Here is a 20,688-nt window from a genome sequence, read left to right as displayed (position 1 = left end):
TGATATTTATTACGTGATTTTGAAGCATCTAGATGTAGTTCATATTCTTTTAGACCCACTGATGTAATGTATTTCATTAATATATTTTTAAGTACTATATCATTTTTAAATTTTAGATTCAGAGGGTACATGTGCAGGTTTGTTACATGGATATATTATGTGATGCTGAGGTTTGGGCTTCTAATGATCCCATTGCCCAAGTGGTGAACATATTACCCAATAGGTAGTTTTTAAGCCCTTGCTTCCTTCCCTCCCTTCCCACTTTGGGAATACCCAGTGTCTGTTGAGCCCGTCTTTGTGTCTGTGTGTACCCAATGTTTAGCTACCACTTATAAATGAGAACATGTGGTATTTGTTTTTCTGTTTCTGCATTAATTTGCTTGGGATAATGGCCTTCAGCTGCAACCATGTTGCTGCAAAGGACATGATTTCAATCTTTTTTATGGCTGAATAGTATTCCATGGTGTATACGTACCATATTTTCTTTTATTATTATTATTATTTTTGAGATGGAGTCTCACTCTGTTGTCCAGGCTGGAGTGCAATTATGTGATGTCGGCTCACTGCAACCTCCGCCTCCCGGGTTTAAGCAATTCTCTGCCTCAGCCTCCCGGGTAGCTGGGATTACAGGTCCTTGCCACCATGCCTGGCTAATTTTTGTATTTTTAGTAGAGATGGGGTTTCACCATCTTGGCCAGACTGGTCTTGAACTCCTGACCTCGTGATTCACCTGCCTTGGCTTCCCAAAGTGCTGGGATTACAGGCATGAGCCACCACTGATGGATTGATTCCATGTCTTTGCTACTGTGAATAGTGCTGTGATAAACGTATGAGTGCAGGTGTCTTTTTGGTAGAACGATTTATCTTCTTTTAGGTATATTCCCAATAATAAGATTACTCGGTCAAATGACAATTCTATTTTCAGTTCTTTCAGAAATCTCCAAACTGCTTTCCACAGGGCCTGAACTAATTTGTATTTCCACTAACAGCATATAAACTTCCTTTTCTTTGCAACCTTGTGAATGTCTGTGATTTTTTAAATAATAGTCATTCTGACTAGTGTGAAATGGTATCACATTGTGGTTTTGATTTATATCTCTGTAACAATTAGTGATGTTGAGCATTTTTTAATATATTTGTTGGCTGCTTGGATATCTTGAGAAGTGTCTGTTCATGTACTTTGCCCACTTTTTAATGGGGTTGGTTTTTTTCTTGTTGGTTTGTTTCAGTTCCTTATAGATTTTGTATATTAGCCCTTAGTAAGATCCATAGTTTACAAATATTTTCTTCCATTTTGTAGGTTGTCTCTTTACTCTGTTGATAGTTTATTTTGCAGTGAAGAAACCCTTTAGTTTAATAATGTTCCAATTGTCAATTTTTGTTTGTGTTGCGTTTGCTTTTGAGGACTTATTCATAATTTCTTTGCCTAAGTTCATGTCTAGAAAAGTATTTCCTAGGTTTTCTTTTAGGATTTTTATAGTTTGAGGTCTTACATTTAGATCTTTAATCTACCTTTAGTTAATTTTTGTATATAGTGAAAGGGGTCCAGTTTCATTCTTTGCCTATGGTTAGCCAGTTTTCTCCGCAGCATTTATTGAATAGAGTATCCTTTCCCCAGTGTTTACTTTTGTCAGCTTCATCAAAGATCAGTTGGTTGTAGGTGTGCAGCTTTATTTCAGGGGTCTCTATTCTGTTGCATTAGTCTATGTGTCTATTAATGTTTTTGTACCATTACCATGCTGTTTTTGTTACTCTAGCCTTGTAGTATAGTTTGAAGTTGGAAGATATGATGCCTCTGGCTTTGTTCTTTTTGCTTAGGATTGCTTTGGCTATTTTGGCTATTTTGTGTGTGTGGTGGGTGGGTGGTTCATATGAATTTTAGAATAGTTTTCTCTAATTCTGAAAAGTGACATTGGTAATTTGGTAAGAATAGCGTTGAATCTGTAGATTGCTTTGGGCAGTATGGATGCTTTAATGATATTGATTATTCTGATCCATGAGCATGAAATGCTTTTTTATTTGTTTGTGTTATCTATGATTTCTTTCATCAGTGTTTTGTAGTTCTCCTTGCAGAGATCTTTCATCTCCTTGGTTAGATGTATTCCTAGGTGTTTTATTTCATGTTTTTTTGTGGTTATTTTAAATGGGATTGCATTCTTCATTTGATTCTCAGCTTGAATGTTATTGGTGTATAGAAATGCTACTGATTTTTGTACATTGATTTTGTATCCTGAGACTTTGCTCAAGTCATTAGATCTAGGAGTCTTTTCACGGAATTTTTAGGGTTTTCTAGGTATATAATCATATCATCAATGAAGAGAGATAACTTGACTTCTCTTTTCCTATTTGGATTCCTTTTATTTCTCTCTTGCTTGATTGCCCTGGCTAGGACTTCCAGTACTTTGTTGAATAAGAATGGTGAGAGTTGACATCTTTGTCTTGTTCTCATTCTTAGGAAGAGCACTTCCAACTTTTGCCTGGTCAGTACAATGTTGGCTGTAAGCTTGCCATAGATGGCTCTTATTATTTTGAGGTGTGTTCCTTCAATGTCTAGTTTGTTGAGGGCTTTTATCATGAAAAAATGTTGGATTTTATTGAATGCTTTTTCTGCGTCTATTGAGATGATCATACGGTTTTTGTTTTTATTTCTGTTTATGTGGTGAATCACATGTATTGAGTTGCATATGTTGAAATATCCTTGCATCCCAGGAATAAAGCCCACTTGATTGTGGTGAATTAATTGCTTGATATGCTGTTGGATTTGGTTTGCTAATATTTTGCTGAGAATTTTTGCATCTATGTTCATCAAGGAAATTAGCCTATAGTTTCCTTTTTTTGTTGTGTCTTTGCTAGATCTTGGTGTCAGGATGATACTGGTTTCATAGAATAAATTAGGGAAGAATCCTTTCTCCTCAATTTTTTGGAATTATTTCAGTAGGATTGGTAGCAGCTCTTTCTTTTATGTCTGGTAGAAATTGGCTGTGAATTAATTTGGTCCAGGGCTGTTCTGGGCTGGTAGGTTTTTTATTACTGATTCAATTTCCTTATTCATTATTGGTCTGTTTGAAATTTCTGTTCCTTCCTGGTTCAGTCTTGGGAGGTTGTGTGTTTCCAGAAATTTATCCATTTTCCTCTAGATTTTCTGGTTTGTATGCAGAGATAGTAGTCTCTGAGGGTCTTTTGTATTTCTGTGTGATCAGTTGTAATGTTACCTTTGTCATTTCTGATCATGGTTATTTAGCTCTTCTCTTTTTCTTTTTTAATCTAGGTAGCAGTTTATTAATCTTGTTTATCCTTTGAAAAAACAACTTTTGTTTCATTGAACCTCTGTATGGTTTTTTGGGGCCTCAATTTCATTTCATCTACACTGATTTTAGTTATTTCTTTGTTTCTGATAGCTTTGGGTTTAATTTGTTCTTATGTTTTAGTTCCTCTAGGTGTATGCTTAGGTTGTTAATTTAAGATTTATCTTCTTGATATAGGAATTGGCACTATAAACTTTTCTTTTAACACTGCTTTTGTTGTAACCTAGATGTTGTAGTAGATTGTTTCTCTATTTTCATTTGTTTCAAAGAATTTTTTGATTTCATTCAGGAGCAAGTTGTTGAGTTTCCATGTATTTGTCTGGTTTTAAGAGTGCCTCTTGGTATTCAACTTATTTTTTAAGGCTAGTATACCTTGTTACTCATACTCAACAAAAATGAGACAAAAAGAAAAATTTACAAGCCAATCTCAGTTATAAATATAGACATAGAACTTTGAAACAAAACATTAAGAATACACAAGCAGCAATGTAGAAGAATGATCAAATTAGATTTATTACTGGAGTGCAAGATTAAGTTAGCATTAGAAAAATCTAATAATGTAATTCACTACATTAACAGATCAAAGAAGAAATACTATATAATCATCTTAATAATTGTTGAAAGAGCATTCAATTATATTCAATAGCCCTTATAATTAAAAATTCCCAGCAAACTAGGACTAAAAGAGAATTTGCTTAAATTGCTAAAGGGCATCTAAAATAATTATAAGAAATATTATCAATGATGATACATTGTAAGTGTTCTTAAAATCAGGAGCAAGCAAGAATGCCCACTCTCATAATTTCTATTCAACATGGTACTGAACGTCCTTGACATTGCAGTAAGACAAGTATAAGAAATAAAAAGTATGAAGATTGGAAAGTAAGAAATAAAGTTATAATTATTTGCAGTCAATATGCATATTTGCATAGAAAGCCCAAAAGCTATAAAAATTAAAGTTAATAAAAAAGTTTAATAAAGTGGCAAAAAATAAGATTGATATTTAAAGGTCAATTGTATTTCCATATACTACCAACAGACAGAAAACATATTTCCTAAAAGATGCTATTGACAATAGCAACAAAAAGCAAGGCGCCTAGGAGGAAATCTAACTAATTATTAATCTAATAATATATAAGATCATAATGGAGAAAATTTAGAAAACTTATTGAAAGATATCAAAGAAACCAAAGAACTCTACATAAATAGACAGAAAGGGCTGGGTGCAGTGGCTCATGCCTGTAATCTCAGCACTTTGGGAGGCCGAGGCAGGCAGATCACAAGGTCAGGAGATTAAGACCATCCTGGCCAACATGGTGAAACCCCATCTCTACCAAAAAATACCAAAAAAATGAGCTGGGTGTGGTGGCACGTGCCTGTAGTCCCAGCTACTTGGGAGGCGGAGGCAGGAGAATCGTTTGAACTCGGGAGGCAGAAGTTGCAGTTATGCAGTTAGCCAAGATCACTGCACTCCAGCCTGGTGACAGAGCAAGACTCTGTTTCAAAACATAAAAATAAAAAAATAAAAAATAGATAAATAAATACATAAATAAATAAAAAGAAAGGAAGAAATGAATGATAGGAGGGATTCAGTTTCATATCTTTCTTCTCCAACTGATTTCTAGAATCAAGTCAAAAGTACCACCGGGTACTTCACCACTTAACAAGCTGATTTTAAAATTTATTGAAATGAGCGAAGGATTGCTAAGATACTTCTGAAGAAAAATAACAAGGCGACGGGACTTTTTCCTCTCAGATATAAGAGCTTGTATACAGGAAAAGTAGTTTGCCAGCATGATACCTTTGCAAAGATGGAAAAATGGACTAAAGGAACAAAATTGAGAACCCGGAAACACGCTTATATGTACCTGGAAACTTTATATGACAGAGGTGTCATTACAGATAAGGAAAGATAGACTACTCAATAAATGCTAGTGTAATTGGTTATACATAAAGAAAAAACAAATTTAGTTCCACACATCGTACTGTATACAATTCCATGTTTTTGTTTTTTTGTTTGTTTGTTTGTTTTAGACAGGTTCTTGCTCTGTCACCCAGTCTGGACTGCAGTGGTATGATCATGGCTCACCACGGCCTCAACCTCCTGGGCTCAAGCAACCCTCCTACTTCACCCTCTGTAGTAGCTGGGACCACAGACACGCACTACCACGCCTGGCTAATTATTATTATCATTATTATTATTATTATTTTGTATTTTTTGTAGAGATGGGGTTTTGCCACGTTGGCCAGGCTGGTTTCAAGCTCCTGGACTCAAGTGACCCACCCACCTTGGCCTCCCAAAGGGCTGGGATTACAGGCATGAGCCACTGTGCCCAGGCAGTCCGTATATTAAGAAATGAAATGTGAAAGGCGAAACTTTAAAAACAACTTTTAGAAGAAAATATAGGTAAAGATCTTTTTAACCTTAAGGAAGAAGGACTTCAGACACAAAGCTCAAATTAGAAAGAAAGTGGTTGATAAATTCACTACATTAAGAGCTCCCTTTAACTGAAAGATCAAAAAAAATAAATAGATAAGGTACTGTGAGAAGATATCCTGATAAAAAATGTAGAGAATTCATTGAAATTTTAAGCAGAAAACGTAAATAACTTCTAAACATTAATTAAATAAAAGACAACCTAACAAAAAATCAAAACTTAGAAAAAATCGAGAAAATTAGGAAAATATACATTAAAACCATGATGAGATTCTATTTAACACTCACCAAATTGGCAAAATCTGAAAAGCACTGGTCAGAATGTGTGTCAAAAAGAAAGAACTGCCAGGCAGTGGTTCATGCCTGTAATCCCAGCACTTTTGGAGGTCAAGGTGGGCAGATAACTTGGGGTCAGGAGTTTGAGACCAGCCTGGCCAATATTGTGAAACTTCATCTCTATTAAAAATACAAAAATTAGCCAGGCATGGCGGCAGATGCCTGTAATCCCAGCTACTCAGGAGGCTGAGGCAGGAGAATCGCTTGAACCCGGGAGGCAGAGGTTGCAGTGAGCCGAGATCGTACCACTGCACTCCAGCCTGGCAACAGAGTGAGAGTCTGACTCAAAAAAGAAAAAGAATTTTTATACACTGCGGGTGGGAATATAAATTGATACAAACCATTTTTGTATAATGATATGGCATTTCTAGTAAAACTGAAGAAACACTAAATACCCAGTAATTAAACCCTTAGTGTACACTAAAGACATGTTCATCAATTTTCAGAGTAGCATTATTTTAACATCAACTTCACAGACATATAATTTACGTACAGCAAAATGCTCCTACTTTAAGTGTATAGTTTGATGAGTTTTGACAAATGTACACACCAGTGTACCTACCACCACAATTAGGATATAACACTTTCTATCACTCCTAAAAGTTTCTTCTTGCTTGTATTAGTCTGTTTTCACACTGCTATAAAGATACTATCCGAGACTGGGTAATTTATAAAGGAAAGAAGTTTAATTGACTCCCAGTTCTGCATGGCTGGGGAGGCCTCAGGAAACTTACAGTCATGGTGGAAGGTGAAGGGGAAGAAGGCAGCTCTTCACAAGGCAGCAGGAGACAGAAGGGAGAGCAAAGAGGGAAGAGGCTCTTATAAAACCATCAGATCTTGTGAGAACTCACTCACTATCCCAAGAATAGCCTGGGGGAAACTAACCCATGATCCAGTCATCTCCCACCAGGTCCCTCCCTCAACATCTGGGGATTATAATTCAAGATGAGATTTAGGTAGGGACACAAAGCCGAATCGTACATTACAAAGCTCCATTACAGAAGAGCCCTTCTCCTACTGCCAATGCACTTTTCCATTTTCTTGAATGTCATATGAGTGGAATCATACAATATATAGTCACTTGATTTTGTCCTCTTTATAATGCTTTTGAGATTCATCCACGCTGTTGCTTGTAGTTTGTTCCTTTTTGTGGCTGAGTGGTATCCCATTACATGAATACAGCAAGAGTTGTTTATATATTCACTAGTTTTTAGACATTTGAATTGTTTCCAGTTCTTGGCTATTATAAGTAAGAAAGCTGCTATAAAAATTCACGTACAGGTCTTCATGTGGACATATGTTTTTATTTCTCTTGTGTAAATTTCTAGGAGTGGAATTTTTGGGTCATATGGTAAGTATATGTTTAACTCATAAGAAAATCTGTTTTCCAGAATGATTATACTATTTTACATTCCTACCAGCAATGTATGAGAGTTTCAGTTCACAGCAACATTATTCATAACAGCAAAAAATGGAACAACACAAATGTTCACTGTCAGAAGAATGAATAAATAAATTATAGTATATTCATTCATAAAAATACCATATATAATTAACTACAGCTCTATGTATCAACATGACTAAAACATGTTAAGCAAAGTAAAAGCAAATCACAGAATACATATGGTATATTCCATATATATGTATATATTTCTAAACTATGCTATAGTGTAGGGGTGAGAAGAGATAGGGGTGCTTCAAATGCATTGGTAATATTCTGTTTCTTAATCTGGGTGATAGGTACATGGGTCTTAGTTATTATTATTTAACTGGCACAATACATTTTATATATGTGTGTATAATATATTTTTATAATAAAAGTTTAAAAAGAAAGGTAGTTGATGTTTCTTTAATCTTACTGTTGCTTTTCTTTAAAAAGAGAAAATATTTGACTTGAGCATTTGTCCTATAGTGCCATGTATTTTCCCAATTCTGTTCAGTATTCTATGTACTTCCTCTGAGAGGTTGCAGTCTTAGTACTGGAGTAATTCTGGAATGCATTTCCATCTCTGAGAGTGAACATTTAGATGTTGACTCTCAGCAGTATTAATGGCAGCAGTTAAATTCATAAATCCTTGCTTATGGAGATGAGAATATAGTCCACCTGATAGCAAAAATGATTGAGTAGAATTTATTTATTTCTTAAAATTATACTGGGGAAGGATGTGTCTTCTATTTATTTCTTTTCCAATTCAATTATTTAAAGCTGAGGTTTAAAAGTCATCACGAAATTACCCCATAGCCGAATATAAAGGATCTGTCATCAATTCTAGAAAGCTCAGTTGGTCACTTATTGAATAAGAAGACTACACTATTGACAGTAAACATTTCTCTATCTCTCTTTTAGGTCATATCATAGCAATATAAATTGAAGAAGTTGAAAGTTTCATAAAATGAAAAGTGCCAGTGAGGAAAATGGAAAGATGGCAAGAAATCAGTTTTTCATGTATTTTAGTGATATTAAAAAAGATACAGATTATGGAGTTCCATCAGATGGTGCATCTCCATATCCTTCCTGGGGCATTATTAGTGAAGGCAATTTTTTTTTATTGTAGTTACAATCTGATTACAACTTTGATTATAAATATATTAAGATCCCAGCACTTTGGGAGGCCGAGGTGGGCGGATCACCTGAGGTCGGGAGTTCAAGACCAGCCTGACAAACATGAAGAAACCCCGTCTCCACTAAAAATACAAAATCAGCCGGGCGTGGTGGTGCATGCCTGTAATCCTAGCTATTCAGGAGGGTGAGGCAGAAAAATCACTTGAACCCAGGAGGAAGAGGTTGCAGTGAGCCGAGATCATGCCACTGCACTCCAGCCTAGGCAACAAGAGCAAAACTCCATCTTAAAATAAAATAAAATAAATAAATATATTAAGACATAATGAAATTGTGTATTTGAGTAAATTTTGTATAGCTGGAAATTAAATGTGAATTATTACAGAAGAAATTTCAAATATAGAAGGCTAGTAAATTAGCTCTTAATTTATTAAATAAAAACAAAAATCACCAGTGATTCAACACTTATGGAATTACTATCAAAATACAAATTATACACATTTTAAAAATGCTTTAATATCAATCATGAGCTTGATTTTTTTCAAGTTTGAAGCAAGGTATATGAGTAGGGGTAATTATTTTATTTCATTTTTTAAATTTTTTTATTATTATACTTTAAGTTTTAGGGTACATGTGCACATTGTGCAGGTTAGTTACATATGTATACATGTGCCATGCTGGTGCGCTGCACCCACTAACTCGTCATCTAGCATTAGGTATATCTCCCAATGCTATCCCTCCCCCGTCCACCCCCCCACAACAGGCCCCAGAGTGTGATGTTCCCCTTCCTGTGTCCATGTGTTCTCATTGTTCAATTCCCACCTATGAGTGAGAATATGCGGTGTTTGGTTTTTTGTTCTTGCAATAGTTTACTGAGAATGATGATTTCCAATTTCATCCATGTCCCTACAAAAGACATGAACTCATCATTTTTTATGGCTGCATAGTATTCCATGGCGTATATGTGCCACATTTTCTTAATCCAGTCTATCATTGTTGGGCATTTGGGTTGGTTCCAAGTCTTTGCTATTGTGAATAATGCCTCAATAAACATACGTGTGCATGTGTCTTTATAGCAGCATGATTTATAGTCCTTTGGGTATATACCCAGTAATGGGATGGCTGGGTCAAATGGTATTTCTAGTTCTAGATCCCTGAGGAATCGCCGCACTGACTTCCACAATGGTTGAACTAGTTTACAGTCCCACCAACAGTGTAAAAGTGTTCCTATTTCTCCACATCCTCTCCAGCACCTGTCGTTTCCTGACTTTTTAATGATTGCCTTTCTAACTGGTGTGAGATGGTATCTCATTGTGGTTTTGATTTGCATTTCTCTGATGGCCATTGATGGTGAACATTTTTTCGTGTGTTTTTTGGCTGCATAAATGTCTTCTTTTGAGAAGTGTCTGTTCATGTCCTTCGCCCACTTTTTGATGGGGTTGTTTGTTTTTTTCTTGTAAATTTGTTTGAGTTCATTGTAGATTCTGGATATTAGCCCTTTGTCAGATGAGTAGGTTGCGAAAATTTTCTCCCATTTTGTAGGTTGCCTGTTCACTCTGATGGTAGTTTCTTTTGCTGTGCAGAAGCTCTTTAGTTTAATTAGATCCCATTTGTCAATTTTGTCTTTTGTTGCCATTGCTTTTGGTGTTTTAGACATGAAGTCCTTGCCCATGCCTATTTCCTGAATGGTAAAGCCTAGGTTTTCTTCTAGGGTTTTTATGGTTTTAGGTCTAACGTTTAAATCTTTAATCCATCTTGAATAGATTTTTGTATAAGGTGTAAGGAAGGGATCCAGTTTCAGCTTTCTACATATGGTTAGCCAGTTTTCCCAGCACCATTTATTAAATAGGGAATCCTTTCCCCATTGCTTGTTTTTCTCAGGTTTGTCAAAGATCAGATAGTTGTAGATATGCGGCGTTATTTCTGAGAGCTCTGTTCTGTTCCATTGATCTATATCTCTGTTTTGGTACCAGTACCATGCTGTTTTGGTTACTGTAGCCTTGTAGTATAGTTTGAAGTCAGGTAGTGTGATGCCTCCAGCTTTGTTCTTTTGGCTTAGGATTGACTTGAGAGTAGGGGTAATTATTAAAAAAAAAAAAGAAGAAGTAATTCTTTCATTGTGCTCCATATTATTTAGAAATCTTAAAAATATATTTTGCCCCAAATGATTATATGAGAAATGGTGAAGATGCTACATAAAGGTGGAATTAACCATGTCAGTTGTTTTCTTTCTTTTTTTTTTTTCTTTTTTTTTTAGATGGAGTCTCATTCTGTCACCCAGGCTGGAGTGCAGTGGCACGATCTCGGTTCACTGCAAGATCTGCCTCCTGGGTTCACGCCATTCTCCTGCCTCAGCCTCCTGAGTAGCTGGGACTACAGGTGCCCGCCACCATGCCCAGCTAATTTTTTCTTTTTTTTTTTTTTTTGTATTTTTAGTAGAGATGGGGTTTCACTGTGTTAGCCAGGATGGTCTCCATCTCCTGACCTCGTGATCCACCCGCCTCAGCCTCCCGAAGTGGTCGGTTGTTTTCTTATGCTAACAAAAGACTATCAGACTGGGAATTTCTGAAAGATAGGTTGCCTATTCCTTAGTTGATCATTACTGCTAAATAGGAATTCCCAATTTTTACACAGTAAGCTTTGATTATTTTTATGAATTAAATCATAGATAATTCTGTCCTAAAGGAAAGATGAATTTAAAATTTTTACTTTGGAATATAGGTTTGCATTTAATTTAATTAAATTAATTTATTTGAGATGGAGTCTCACTCTGTTGCCCAGTCTGGAGTGCAGTGGTGCGATCTTGGCTCACTGCAACCTCCACCTCCCAGGTTCAAGCAATTCTCCTGCCTCGGCCTCCTGAGTAGCTGGGACTACAGGTGCCCACCACCATGCCTGGCTAAGTTTTGTATTTTTAGTAGAGATGAGGTTTCACTATGTTGGCCAGGCTGGTCTCGAACTCCTGACCTCAAGTGATCCAACTGCCTCAGCCTCCCAAAGTGCTGGGATTACAGGCATGAGCCACTGCGCCTGGCCTGGATTTGCATTTTAAATGACATATATTTGTACAAATTTCAAAAGTGTTTTCATATGTACTATACAATTTGATGTTACTATAACCCCATGAGATTAGCAGGCTTATCTCTATTTTGCTAGTAAGAAAATTAGACTCGTGGAGATTAAGTAAATTGTCTAAGTATCTTGACTAATGACTGACAGATATAGCACTGGAATCTTTTTTCTCCTTTTGAGACATGGTCTCCCTTTGTTGCCCAAGCTGAAGTGCAGTGGTGTGATCATGGTTCACTGCAGCTTCAACCTCCCAGGCTTAAGTGATCCTTCTACCTCAGCATCCTGAGTAGTAAGGACTACAGGAGTGCACCACCCCGCCTGGCTAATTTTTGTATTTTTTGTAGAGATGGGGTGGCCATGTTGTCCAGGCTGATCTCAAACTCCTGAGCTCAAGCAATCTGCCCACCTCTGCCTCCAAAAGGACTGGGATTACAGGTGTGAGCCACCACACCCAGCCTAGAGTGTTTGTCTTTTGTTTCTGAACTCAGTATTATTTCTATTATACCATAATTTCCATATCTTATGTTTGTCTTCAGACAAAAGTAAAAATTAGGCTGTCATCTTGTTAAATTTCATCTTTAGAAGTTGTGGTAGGCTGAATAATGGCCGTCTAAAGATATCTGGTGCTAATTCTGGAAACCTGTCAATGTCACCTTATAAGGAAAAAGGGTCTTTACAGATGTGACTAAGTTGAAGGTCTTGAGATGTGAAGATTATTCTGGATTAGCCTTTTTGGCTAGTAGAAACAGAGACACAGAGGAGAAAGCAATATGACTATGGAGACAGAGATTAGAGTGATGTGGCCACAAGCCAAGGAATGCCAGCAGCCACCAGAGGGCCAAGGAACAGATTCTTCCCTAGAACCTCCAGAGGTAGTACAATCATGTAGACCTCTCAACTTCTGACTACTGAAACGATGTTGGACTTCTGGCCTCCAAAACTGTGAGAGAATGAATTTTTCTTGTTTTAAATTACCAAGGTTGTGGAAATTTGTTACAGCAGCCCTAGGAAACTGATACAGAGATACTGTTCAAAGTTTTCATACCCTGTTCAACTCCATGCAATTGACTTGAGTCTTTATTTTGGAACAGATGGATTCAGAAGAATCTAAGGTTTGTCCATAAAAAATTCCCCAGAATAGAGAATGGTTAAAATGCTGAGATTCCAAGCGCTTCTTTATAAAGACACCTCTTCTCTGAAAGTTAATAGGGAATGTTCACAGGTTTAAAAGAGAAATGTTGCTGGGCACCATGGCTCCCTGTCTCTACAAATAATTTTTTAAAAATTGGCTGGGCATGGTGGCATGCCCCTGCAGTCACAGCTACTCTGGAGGCTGAGTTGGGAGAATTGCCTGAGCCTGGGAGGCCAAGGCTGCAGTAAGCTATGATTACACCACTGCACTCTAGCCTGGGCGACAGAGCAAGATCCAGTCTCAAAAAAAAAAAAAAAAAAAAAAAATAAATAAATAAAAATAATGAAATAGAAATATTTAAATGGAATAGTTATTGTTAATTCAAGTTTAAAAAACAGTCTTGTCTCTGATAAGCTGAAATGTACTGAATCCACCTAAGAAAAACTGGGAGCATACTGTGTATTTATTTGAATGCCAAAAACTCAAAGCTTTACAGTAAAGAAAGTGTTTTTCTTTTTTCTTTACAGAAAGAACATTGGAGCTATCATGTCTGGAAGTGTGTTTGCAATCTAATTTTACCTATTCACTCTCCTCCTTAAATTTTTCTTTTGTGACTTTTCTGCAACCAGTAAGGGAAACTCAGATTATCATGAGAATCTTTCTAAATCCCTCCAATTTTCGTAACTTCACCAGGACTTGCCAAGACATCACAGGTGAATTTAAAATGTGCTCCTCGTGTTTGGTTTGTGAGTCTAAAGGAAACATGGATTTTATTTCTCAGGAACAAACATCAAAAGGTAAACACAAAGTGAAGGTGAGAATAAAATGGTATCAGGTATAAATTAATTTATTCTGTTAAAAACGTATTAATAATATATTCTTTTTTTTTTTTTGAGATGGAGTCTCGCTCTGTTGCCCAGGCTAGAGTGCAGTGGTGCAATCTCAGCTCACTGCAACCTCCACCTCCCAGGTTCAAGGAATTCTCCTGCCTCAGCCTCCCGAGTAGCTGGGACCACAGGCGCCTGCCACCACACCCGGCTAATTTTTTGTTTTTAGTAGAGACAGGGTTTCACCATCTTGGCCAAGCTGGTCTCGAACTCCTGACCTTGTGATCCACTCACCTCAGCCTCCCAAAGTGCTGGGATTACAGGTGTATTAGCCACAGCGCCTGGCCAATATATTCCATTTTTAGATCCAGTGGCACTGGAACATTCAATGATGTGGCTCTTGATGAGTGACTTGCTGGGCTTTGGGATGTTACTCGGTTTTGGTTTACTTTGACTTATTGAAAACAAAGAATTCTTAAAATACATCAAAATGCCACTGTAATTCATATACACATGATGGGTAGAGGATTATTTGGCATATACTCTCTTCAAAAGTAGTAAATCTTTAAAAAACAATTTTAAGTGAATCTGTAGTTTCTTATAGTAAAATCAAACTTTGATTCTCTAAGGAATCATTGAGCCCTTGCATTTATACCTACTCCTGCTTAACATTTAGTCATTGTATGTGAAGTCTTTTTACTTCTCTGACTCTCCAGTAAGCTTCTTGAGGGCAGGGCCTTTGTCTTTGCTTACTACTAAATTTCAAGCTTTGTGCACAATGTCTGACATAATACCTAGTAGACACTCAGTAAATTTTTGTGGAATGAACAACTGAATAAATAAAGAATAACTGCTTATTATCTGCAGTGCCTAACTGAACCTTGCAGTTATCATGAGACCAATCTATATTATTTAATTAAATCAAATAAAAATGGATCATTGAGAAATTAAATAATTCCTTTACAATCATAAAATATGCTGATGGCCTCAAGCCCAAACATCAAATTTATTACTTGTATTTATTCAGTGAGAGAGGTTGCCTCCTTATCACTAGATACTGAAATTTATTTTTTTGGCATTCTTTGAGAATGGGAACATAATTTCTTGGCATTTACCTTGTTTTTCTGTTGTTTTCATGTACTTATTGGGCATTTATGTATCTCTTCTTTTAAAAAATATATCATTATAGATTCAGGGTGTACATGTGCAAGTTTGTTACATGAATATATTTTGTATAATTGTGAGGCTTGGGCTTCTAGTGCGCCCATCACCCAAATAGTGAACATTGTACCCAGTAGGTAATGTTCCAACCCTCACCCCTCTGCCCCTTGTCATTGACTTTGGATGAAGTTCTTACTCAAGTAGTGCCGTAACTCCTCCAGGTTCTGGGCTGAATGCAACAGAAAGCAAATTGTGAAAATGCCTCTATGATGACAGAGAACTAGGAAGTGTTTTAAGGGTTGGTAGCTCACAGATCTTCTCTGCCTCCTTGAAAGGTGAAAACAGCACATTGACACATTGTCCCAGTTGCTGTGGCTCTGTAATAAAGTACCCCCAAAACTCAATGGTTTTAAACAGCAATAATTTTATTAAATAAATTTTCTTTTTTTGTGTGGGTCCTAGCTATGTCTATTACATTTTCTTTATCCACTCATCTATCAATGGACATTGATCTATCTGTCTATCTATCTATCCATCTCTCCAGATACCTATCTATCTAGTTTACTTTTTCTTTATCTACTCATTTATCAATGGACATTGACGTTGTTTCTATTCTTGGCTGTTGTGAATGATGCTGCAATGAACAAGAGAATGCAGATTGTGTCTTCGGGATGCTGATTTCAGTTCTTTTGGCTACATACCAAGAGGTAGAATTGCTGGATCATATGGTGGTTCTGTTTTTAATTTTTTGAGGAACCGCCAGACAGTTTTCCATAGTAGCCGGACCATTTTACAATCCCACCAACACTGTGCAAGAGCTTAAATTTCTTCACATTTTTGCCAACGCTTATGTTTTTTTTTCTTTTCTTTTCTTTTTGAGATGGAGTTTCACTCTGCTGTCAAAGCTGAAATGCAGTGGCACGATCTCAGCTCACTGCAACCTCTGCCTCCTAGTTTCAAGCGATTCTCCTGCCTCAGCCTCCTGAGTAGCTGGGATTACAGACGCCTGCTACCATGCCCAGCTAATTTTTTTTTTTTTTTTGTATTTTTAGTAGAGACGGGGTTTCACCATGTGTTGGCCAGGCTGGTCTCAAACTCCTGACCTCATGTGATCCACCCGCCTCGGCCTCCGGAAGTATTGGGATTACAGGTGTGAGCCACTGCACCTGTTCTTTTTTTTTTTTTTCTTAGTAATGGTCATCCTGACAGGTGCGAGGTGTTTCTGATTGTAGTTTTGACTTTCATTTTCCTAATGATTAGTAATATTGAGCACCTTTTCACATATATCAATAGGCCATATATCTTTGTTGGAGAAATGTCTATGAAAGTCCTCTGCCCATTTAAAAATATTTGATATATATATTTTTTGCAATTGAGTTATAGGAGTTCCTGATGTGTTTTGGATATTAACCTTTTATCAGATAAACAGTTTGAAAATATTTTCTCTCATTCTGTAGGTTGCCTTTTCACTCTGCTGATTGTTTCCTTTATGTGGTCTTTCTACCTGGGCTAGTCTGGGTGTCTTCACATCATGGTGGCCTTAAGGTTTTGGACTTTTACGTAGTGGTTCAAGGCTCCAGTATGAGTGTTCTGAAAAGCAAGACAGGAATTTCTTTGCCTTTTCTGACTTAGTCATGCAGTGTCACTTCCTCTGCCTTTGATTGGTTATAAGCAAATCACAAACCTTCCCAGATTCAAGGGAAAAGAAATTATTTATTTATGTATTTATTTTTTTGAGATGGAGTCTTTCTCTCTCACCAGGCTGGAGTGCAGTGGCGTGATCTTGGCTCACTACAACCTCTGCCTCCCAGATTCAAGTGATTTTCCTGCTTCAGCCTCCGGAGTAGCTGGGATTATAGGCGTGCGCCACCACGCCCAGTTAATTTTTTGTATTTTAGTAGAGACGGGGTTTCATCATGTTGCTCAGGATGATCTCAGTCTCTTGACCTCGTGATCCACCCGCCTTGGCCTCCCAAAGTGCTGGGATTACAGGCGTGAGCCACTGAGCCCAGCCAGGAAAAGGAATTAAAAGCAAATCACGAATGCTACCAGATTCAAGGGGAAAGGAATTAGATTCCTTAATGAGCAAATGGTGAAGTTTTTAGGGTAACATGTGTGTTATGGATTGAATTGGGTCCTCTCAAATTCACATGTTGAAGTCCTAACCCTCGATACCTCAGAATATGACATTATTTGGAAATACGGTCATTGTAGATGTAGTTAAGATGAGGTCATTAGGATGGGCCCTAATCCAATATGACTGATATTCTTACAAAAAAGGAGAAGTTTGGACACAGAGACATGGACACAGGGAGACTGACATGTGAAGATGAAGGCAGAGAGCAGGATGATGCATCTCCAAGTCAATGAATGCCAAAGGTTATCAGCAAACCACCATTAGCTAGGAGAGGGGCTCAGCCCTCAGAACAAATCAACCGTGCCAACACCTTGATCTCACACTTCTAGCTTTAGAACTGTGAGACAAACTTCTGTTCTTTTCTTTTTTTTTTTGAGACTGAGTCTCCTTCTGTTACCCAGGCTGGAGTGCAGTGGTGCAATCTTGACCCACTGCAACGTCTGCCTCCCAGGTTCAAACGAGTCTCCTGCCAAGTAGCTACACCTGCAGGCACACATCACCACGCCTGGCTAATTTTTGTATTTTTAGTAGAGATAGGATTTTGCCATGTTGGCCAGGCTGGTCTCGAACCCCTGACCTCAGGTGATCTGCCTGCCTCGGCCTCCTAAAGGGCTAGGATTACAGGCAGGATCGCCGTGCTTGGCCCAAACTTCTGTTCTTTAAACCCCCCAGTTTATGGTACTTTGTTACAGCAGCCCTAAAAAACTAGTACAGTGTGGAATGGGAAATATTGTTGTGACCATATTGGTCACACAATACAGTCTGTCCCACAAGTCACTGGGGAAATGTGTGTATTTTCTTTTAGATGCTCCAATCCTATTCCAACACTACCACAACCTGGTTTTCATGATCTTAAAAAATATAACCACCTTACTGATTATTTTTAGGTTGGCTGCAGTGGCTCACGCCTGTAATCCCAGCAATTCAGGAGTCTGAGGAGGGAGGATCCCTTGAGTCCAAAAGTTGGAGACCAGCCTGGACAACATAGCAAGACCCAATCTCTACAAAAAATTAAAAAAATTAGCTGAGCATAGTGGCATACACCTGTAGTCCCAGCTACTCAGGAGGCTAAGGTGGGAGGATTGCTTGAGCCCGGGAGGGTGAGGCTGCAGTGAGCCATGATTACGCCACTGCACTCCAGCCTGGGAGACGGAGTGAGACCCTGTCTCAAAAATATGTATATATTTTTAGTGTAGGAAACTTCTTGTTTCTACTTTCTTGTATAGAAAGGAAGAGATTTAGTTTTGAATTGTATGTGTTTTCTTGCTATGTATTAATATTTTGCAAATAACATTTTCTTAATCACTTTCTAGTTCTTATCAGGAGAGGATCAATGGAAGTGAAAGCAAATGATTTTCATTCACCTTGTCAGCACTTTAACTTCAGTGTAGCTCCTCTGGTTGACCACTTGGAGGAATATAACACTACCTGTCATCTAAAAAACCACACTGGAAGATCAACAATCATGGAGGATGAGCCAAGCAAGGAGAAATCGATAAACTACACTTGTAGAATCATGGAATACCCGAATGATTGTATACACATTTCTTTGCACCTAGAGATGGATATAAAAAGTAAGTTTTTAAGGAAACTAAAGGGAAAAGGAGTTATCCGATATAGATATGTAAAATTAAGTAAGGGCTATCACATTAACTGAAAGCCAAATAGCTGAAGAATTTTACTGATGAAATAATATAGCCTGAAAGAATGTTAGTCTATTTATCTGTTTATTTTTCTTTCAAAATATGCTTTTTATGGGGCCTACCTGTAACCTGAGAAAGAGGAGGCATTTATGGGTCACGATTTGAGGAGCACTGGAAAGACCTTCTGCCTCAGAATAATTTTTTTTTATTGTTGCAGTGGGGTGGTGGTGGTTGTTTGAGACAGGGTCTCACTCTGTTGCCCAGGCTGGAGTGCAGTGACACGATCACTGCTCACTGCAGCCTTGACTTCCCCGGGCTCAGGTGATCCTCCCACCTCAGCCTCCTGAGTAGCTGGGACTACAGGTGTGCACCACCACACCTGGTTAATTTTTTGTATTTTTAGTAGAGACGGGGTCTTGTCATGTTGCCCAGGCTGGTCTTGAACTCCTAGGCTTAAGCAATCCACCTGCCTTGGCCTCCCAAAGTGCTGGTATTACAGGTATGAGCCACCACAGAATAACTTTGAAACATGCCTATTTTCTGTGAGTGAAATAATACCACCATATTTGTGTACTAAAGGGAGGCATTTCTTTTAAAATATGAATATTGGCTGGGTGCGGTGGCTCACACCTGTAATCCCAGCACTTTGGGAGGCTGAGGTGGGAGGATCATGAGGTCAGGAGTTCGAGACCATCCTGGCTAACACAGTGAAACCCCGTCTCTACTAAAAATATAAAAAATTAGCTGGGTGTGGTGGCATTTGCCTGTAGTCCCAGGTACTTGTGAGGCTGAGGCAGGAGAATCGCTTGAATCCGGGAGGCGGAGGTTACAGTGAGCCGAGATCGCGCTGCTGCACTCCAGCCTGGGCAACAGAGTGAGACTCTGTCTTGAAAAGACAAAAAAAAATATATATATATATAATATATTATATATTATATATATATTATATATATATAATATATATATATTATATAATATATTATATAATATATTATATATATATGTAGCACATTGTGATATGCTATTAAATTTTTGTTTTGAGTTGATTTAACATGTTCTCTCTTGGAGCTGAGAACCAGGCCTGGATGAAATGGGAGTTTGCTGTAATGCTGTGAAGATAGGGTGAGGTACAGATTAGGCACCTAGAGGAAAAAATAGGAGATTAAAAGACAAATCTTACATACTTGCATAACTTAATTCTGTTTAAGGTTGGTTAACTTCCTAGTTACCCTATTCTGAAATACCACAATTATTCCTTTCTACTAAGCAGTATGCCCTACTTCACCCAAAAAATCTATTCCTGGAGAGCATCTTTTGATACATGCATTTAATGAGTGCCTGCTGTATGCTAGGCAGTGTGTCAGGTGTTGGGGTCATGAAGTTAGATGATATGAAACAATCTGAAAGAGGGCGACCCCTCACCTACACCAGCAAGTGCCTTCCAGTGCCACAGGTGCTATGGGAGAGTAATTTGCTGTCCTTTTTGATATTCCAGACATACGGAAGCCTTTCAGATTGCTTTTCTAAAGCTTTAATTATTGTAAAGGTAATGATTTTCAAAATATTACATTCACTTTAAAGCAAACAGAAATATATAATGTGCACGCATTTTTAAGATAAAATGTGAGACTTCAAAGAAATTTCTCCTGTGACTAAGTTTTCCCACGGCCCTATAACCTCTGCAATTAGGGGTCATTTCAAGGTGTGTGCATGAGTGGGGGCTATGGAAGAGGATCTGAGTAGATCTGAACAGAAGGATCAGTTCCCTCTGATTGAGGAGTGAATGAATTGGAAGATGGACTCTGGAAAGATTGCCTAGAGAAGGTGACTGTAGTGAAATCTGAAGGGTAAAGAAGTTTAGATTATAGACATCAAAAACATATTTTTTTCAATGTACATTTGTATATCCACCTAACTGTATTTTATATTTTTTCTAAAATAAAGAAAAAATAAGCACTTCCATAATAATAATTTTAAGATTTTTGTGTGTGTGTTCATGGAAAAAAATCCATAAATTCTAGAATCAAAGTGAAATAATAGTTAACAGCTTTTGGGTGTCCACAAAGATAGCAGTGGTG

At 37.6% G+C, this 20,688-nt stretch overlaps 1 protein-coding gene across 15 annotated transcripts in view; it reads left to right on the top strand.

Annotated features, from left to right (window-relative positions):
- TMEM156 (transmembrane protein 156) overlaps window positions 1-20,688 on the top strand; it is a 65,666-nt gene that overhangs the window by 20,131 nt on the left and 24,847 nt on the right. For 10 of the 15 annotated variants that reach the window (NM_001303228.2, NM_024943.3, XM_017008629.2 and 7 more), the window contains 2 exons: window positions 13,370-13,639; window positions 18,281-18,541. In NM_001303228.2, coding sequence (NP_001290157.1) covers window positions 13,370-13,639; window positions 18,281-18,541 — 531 coding nt within the window. The remainder of the gene's footprint in view (window positions 1-13,369; window positions 13,640-18,280; window positions 18,542-20,688) is intronic. The other 5 variants (XM_047416190.1, XM_011513753.3, XM_047416189.1 and 2 more) reach the window with 1 other exon arrangement.

The sequence above is a fragment of the Homo sapiens genome, chromosome 4 (assembly GCF_000001405.40).
Source record: "Homo sapiens chromosome 4, GRCh38.p14 Primary Assembly".
NCBI classification, from domain to species: Eukaryota; Metazoa; Chordata; class Mammalia; order Primates; family Hominidae; genus Homo; species Homo sapiens.
The sequence above is the reverse complement of the archived record's forward strand: the minus strand, read 5'-3'. Positions and strand labels throughout refer to the sequence as shown.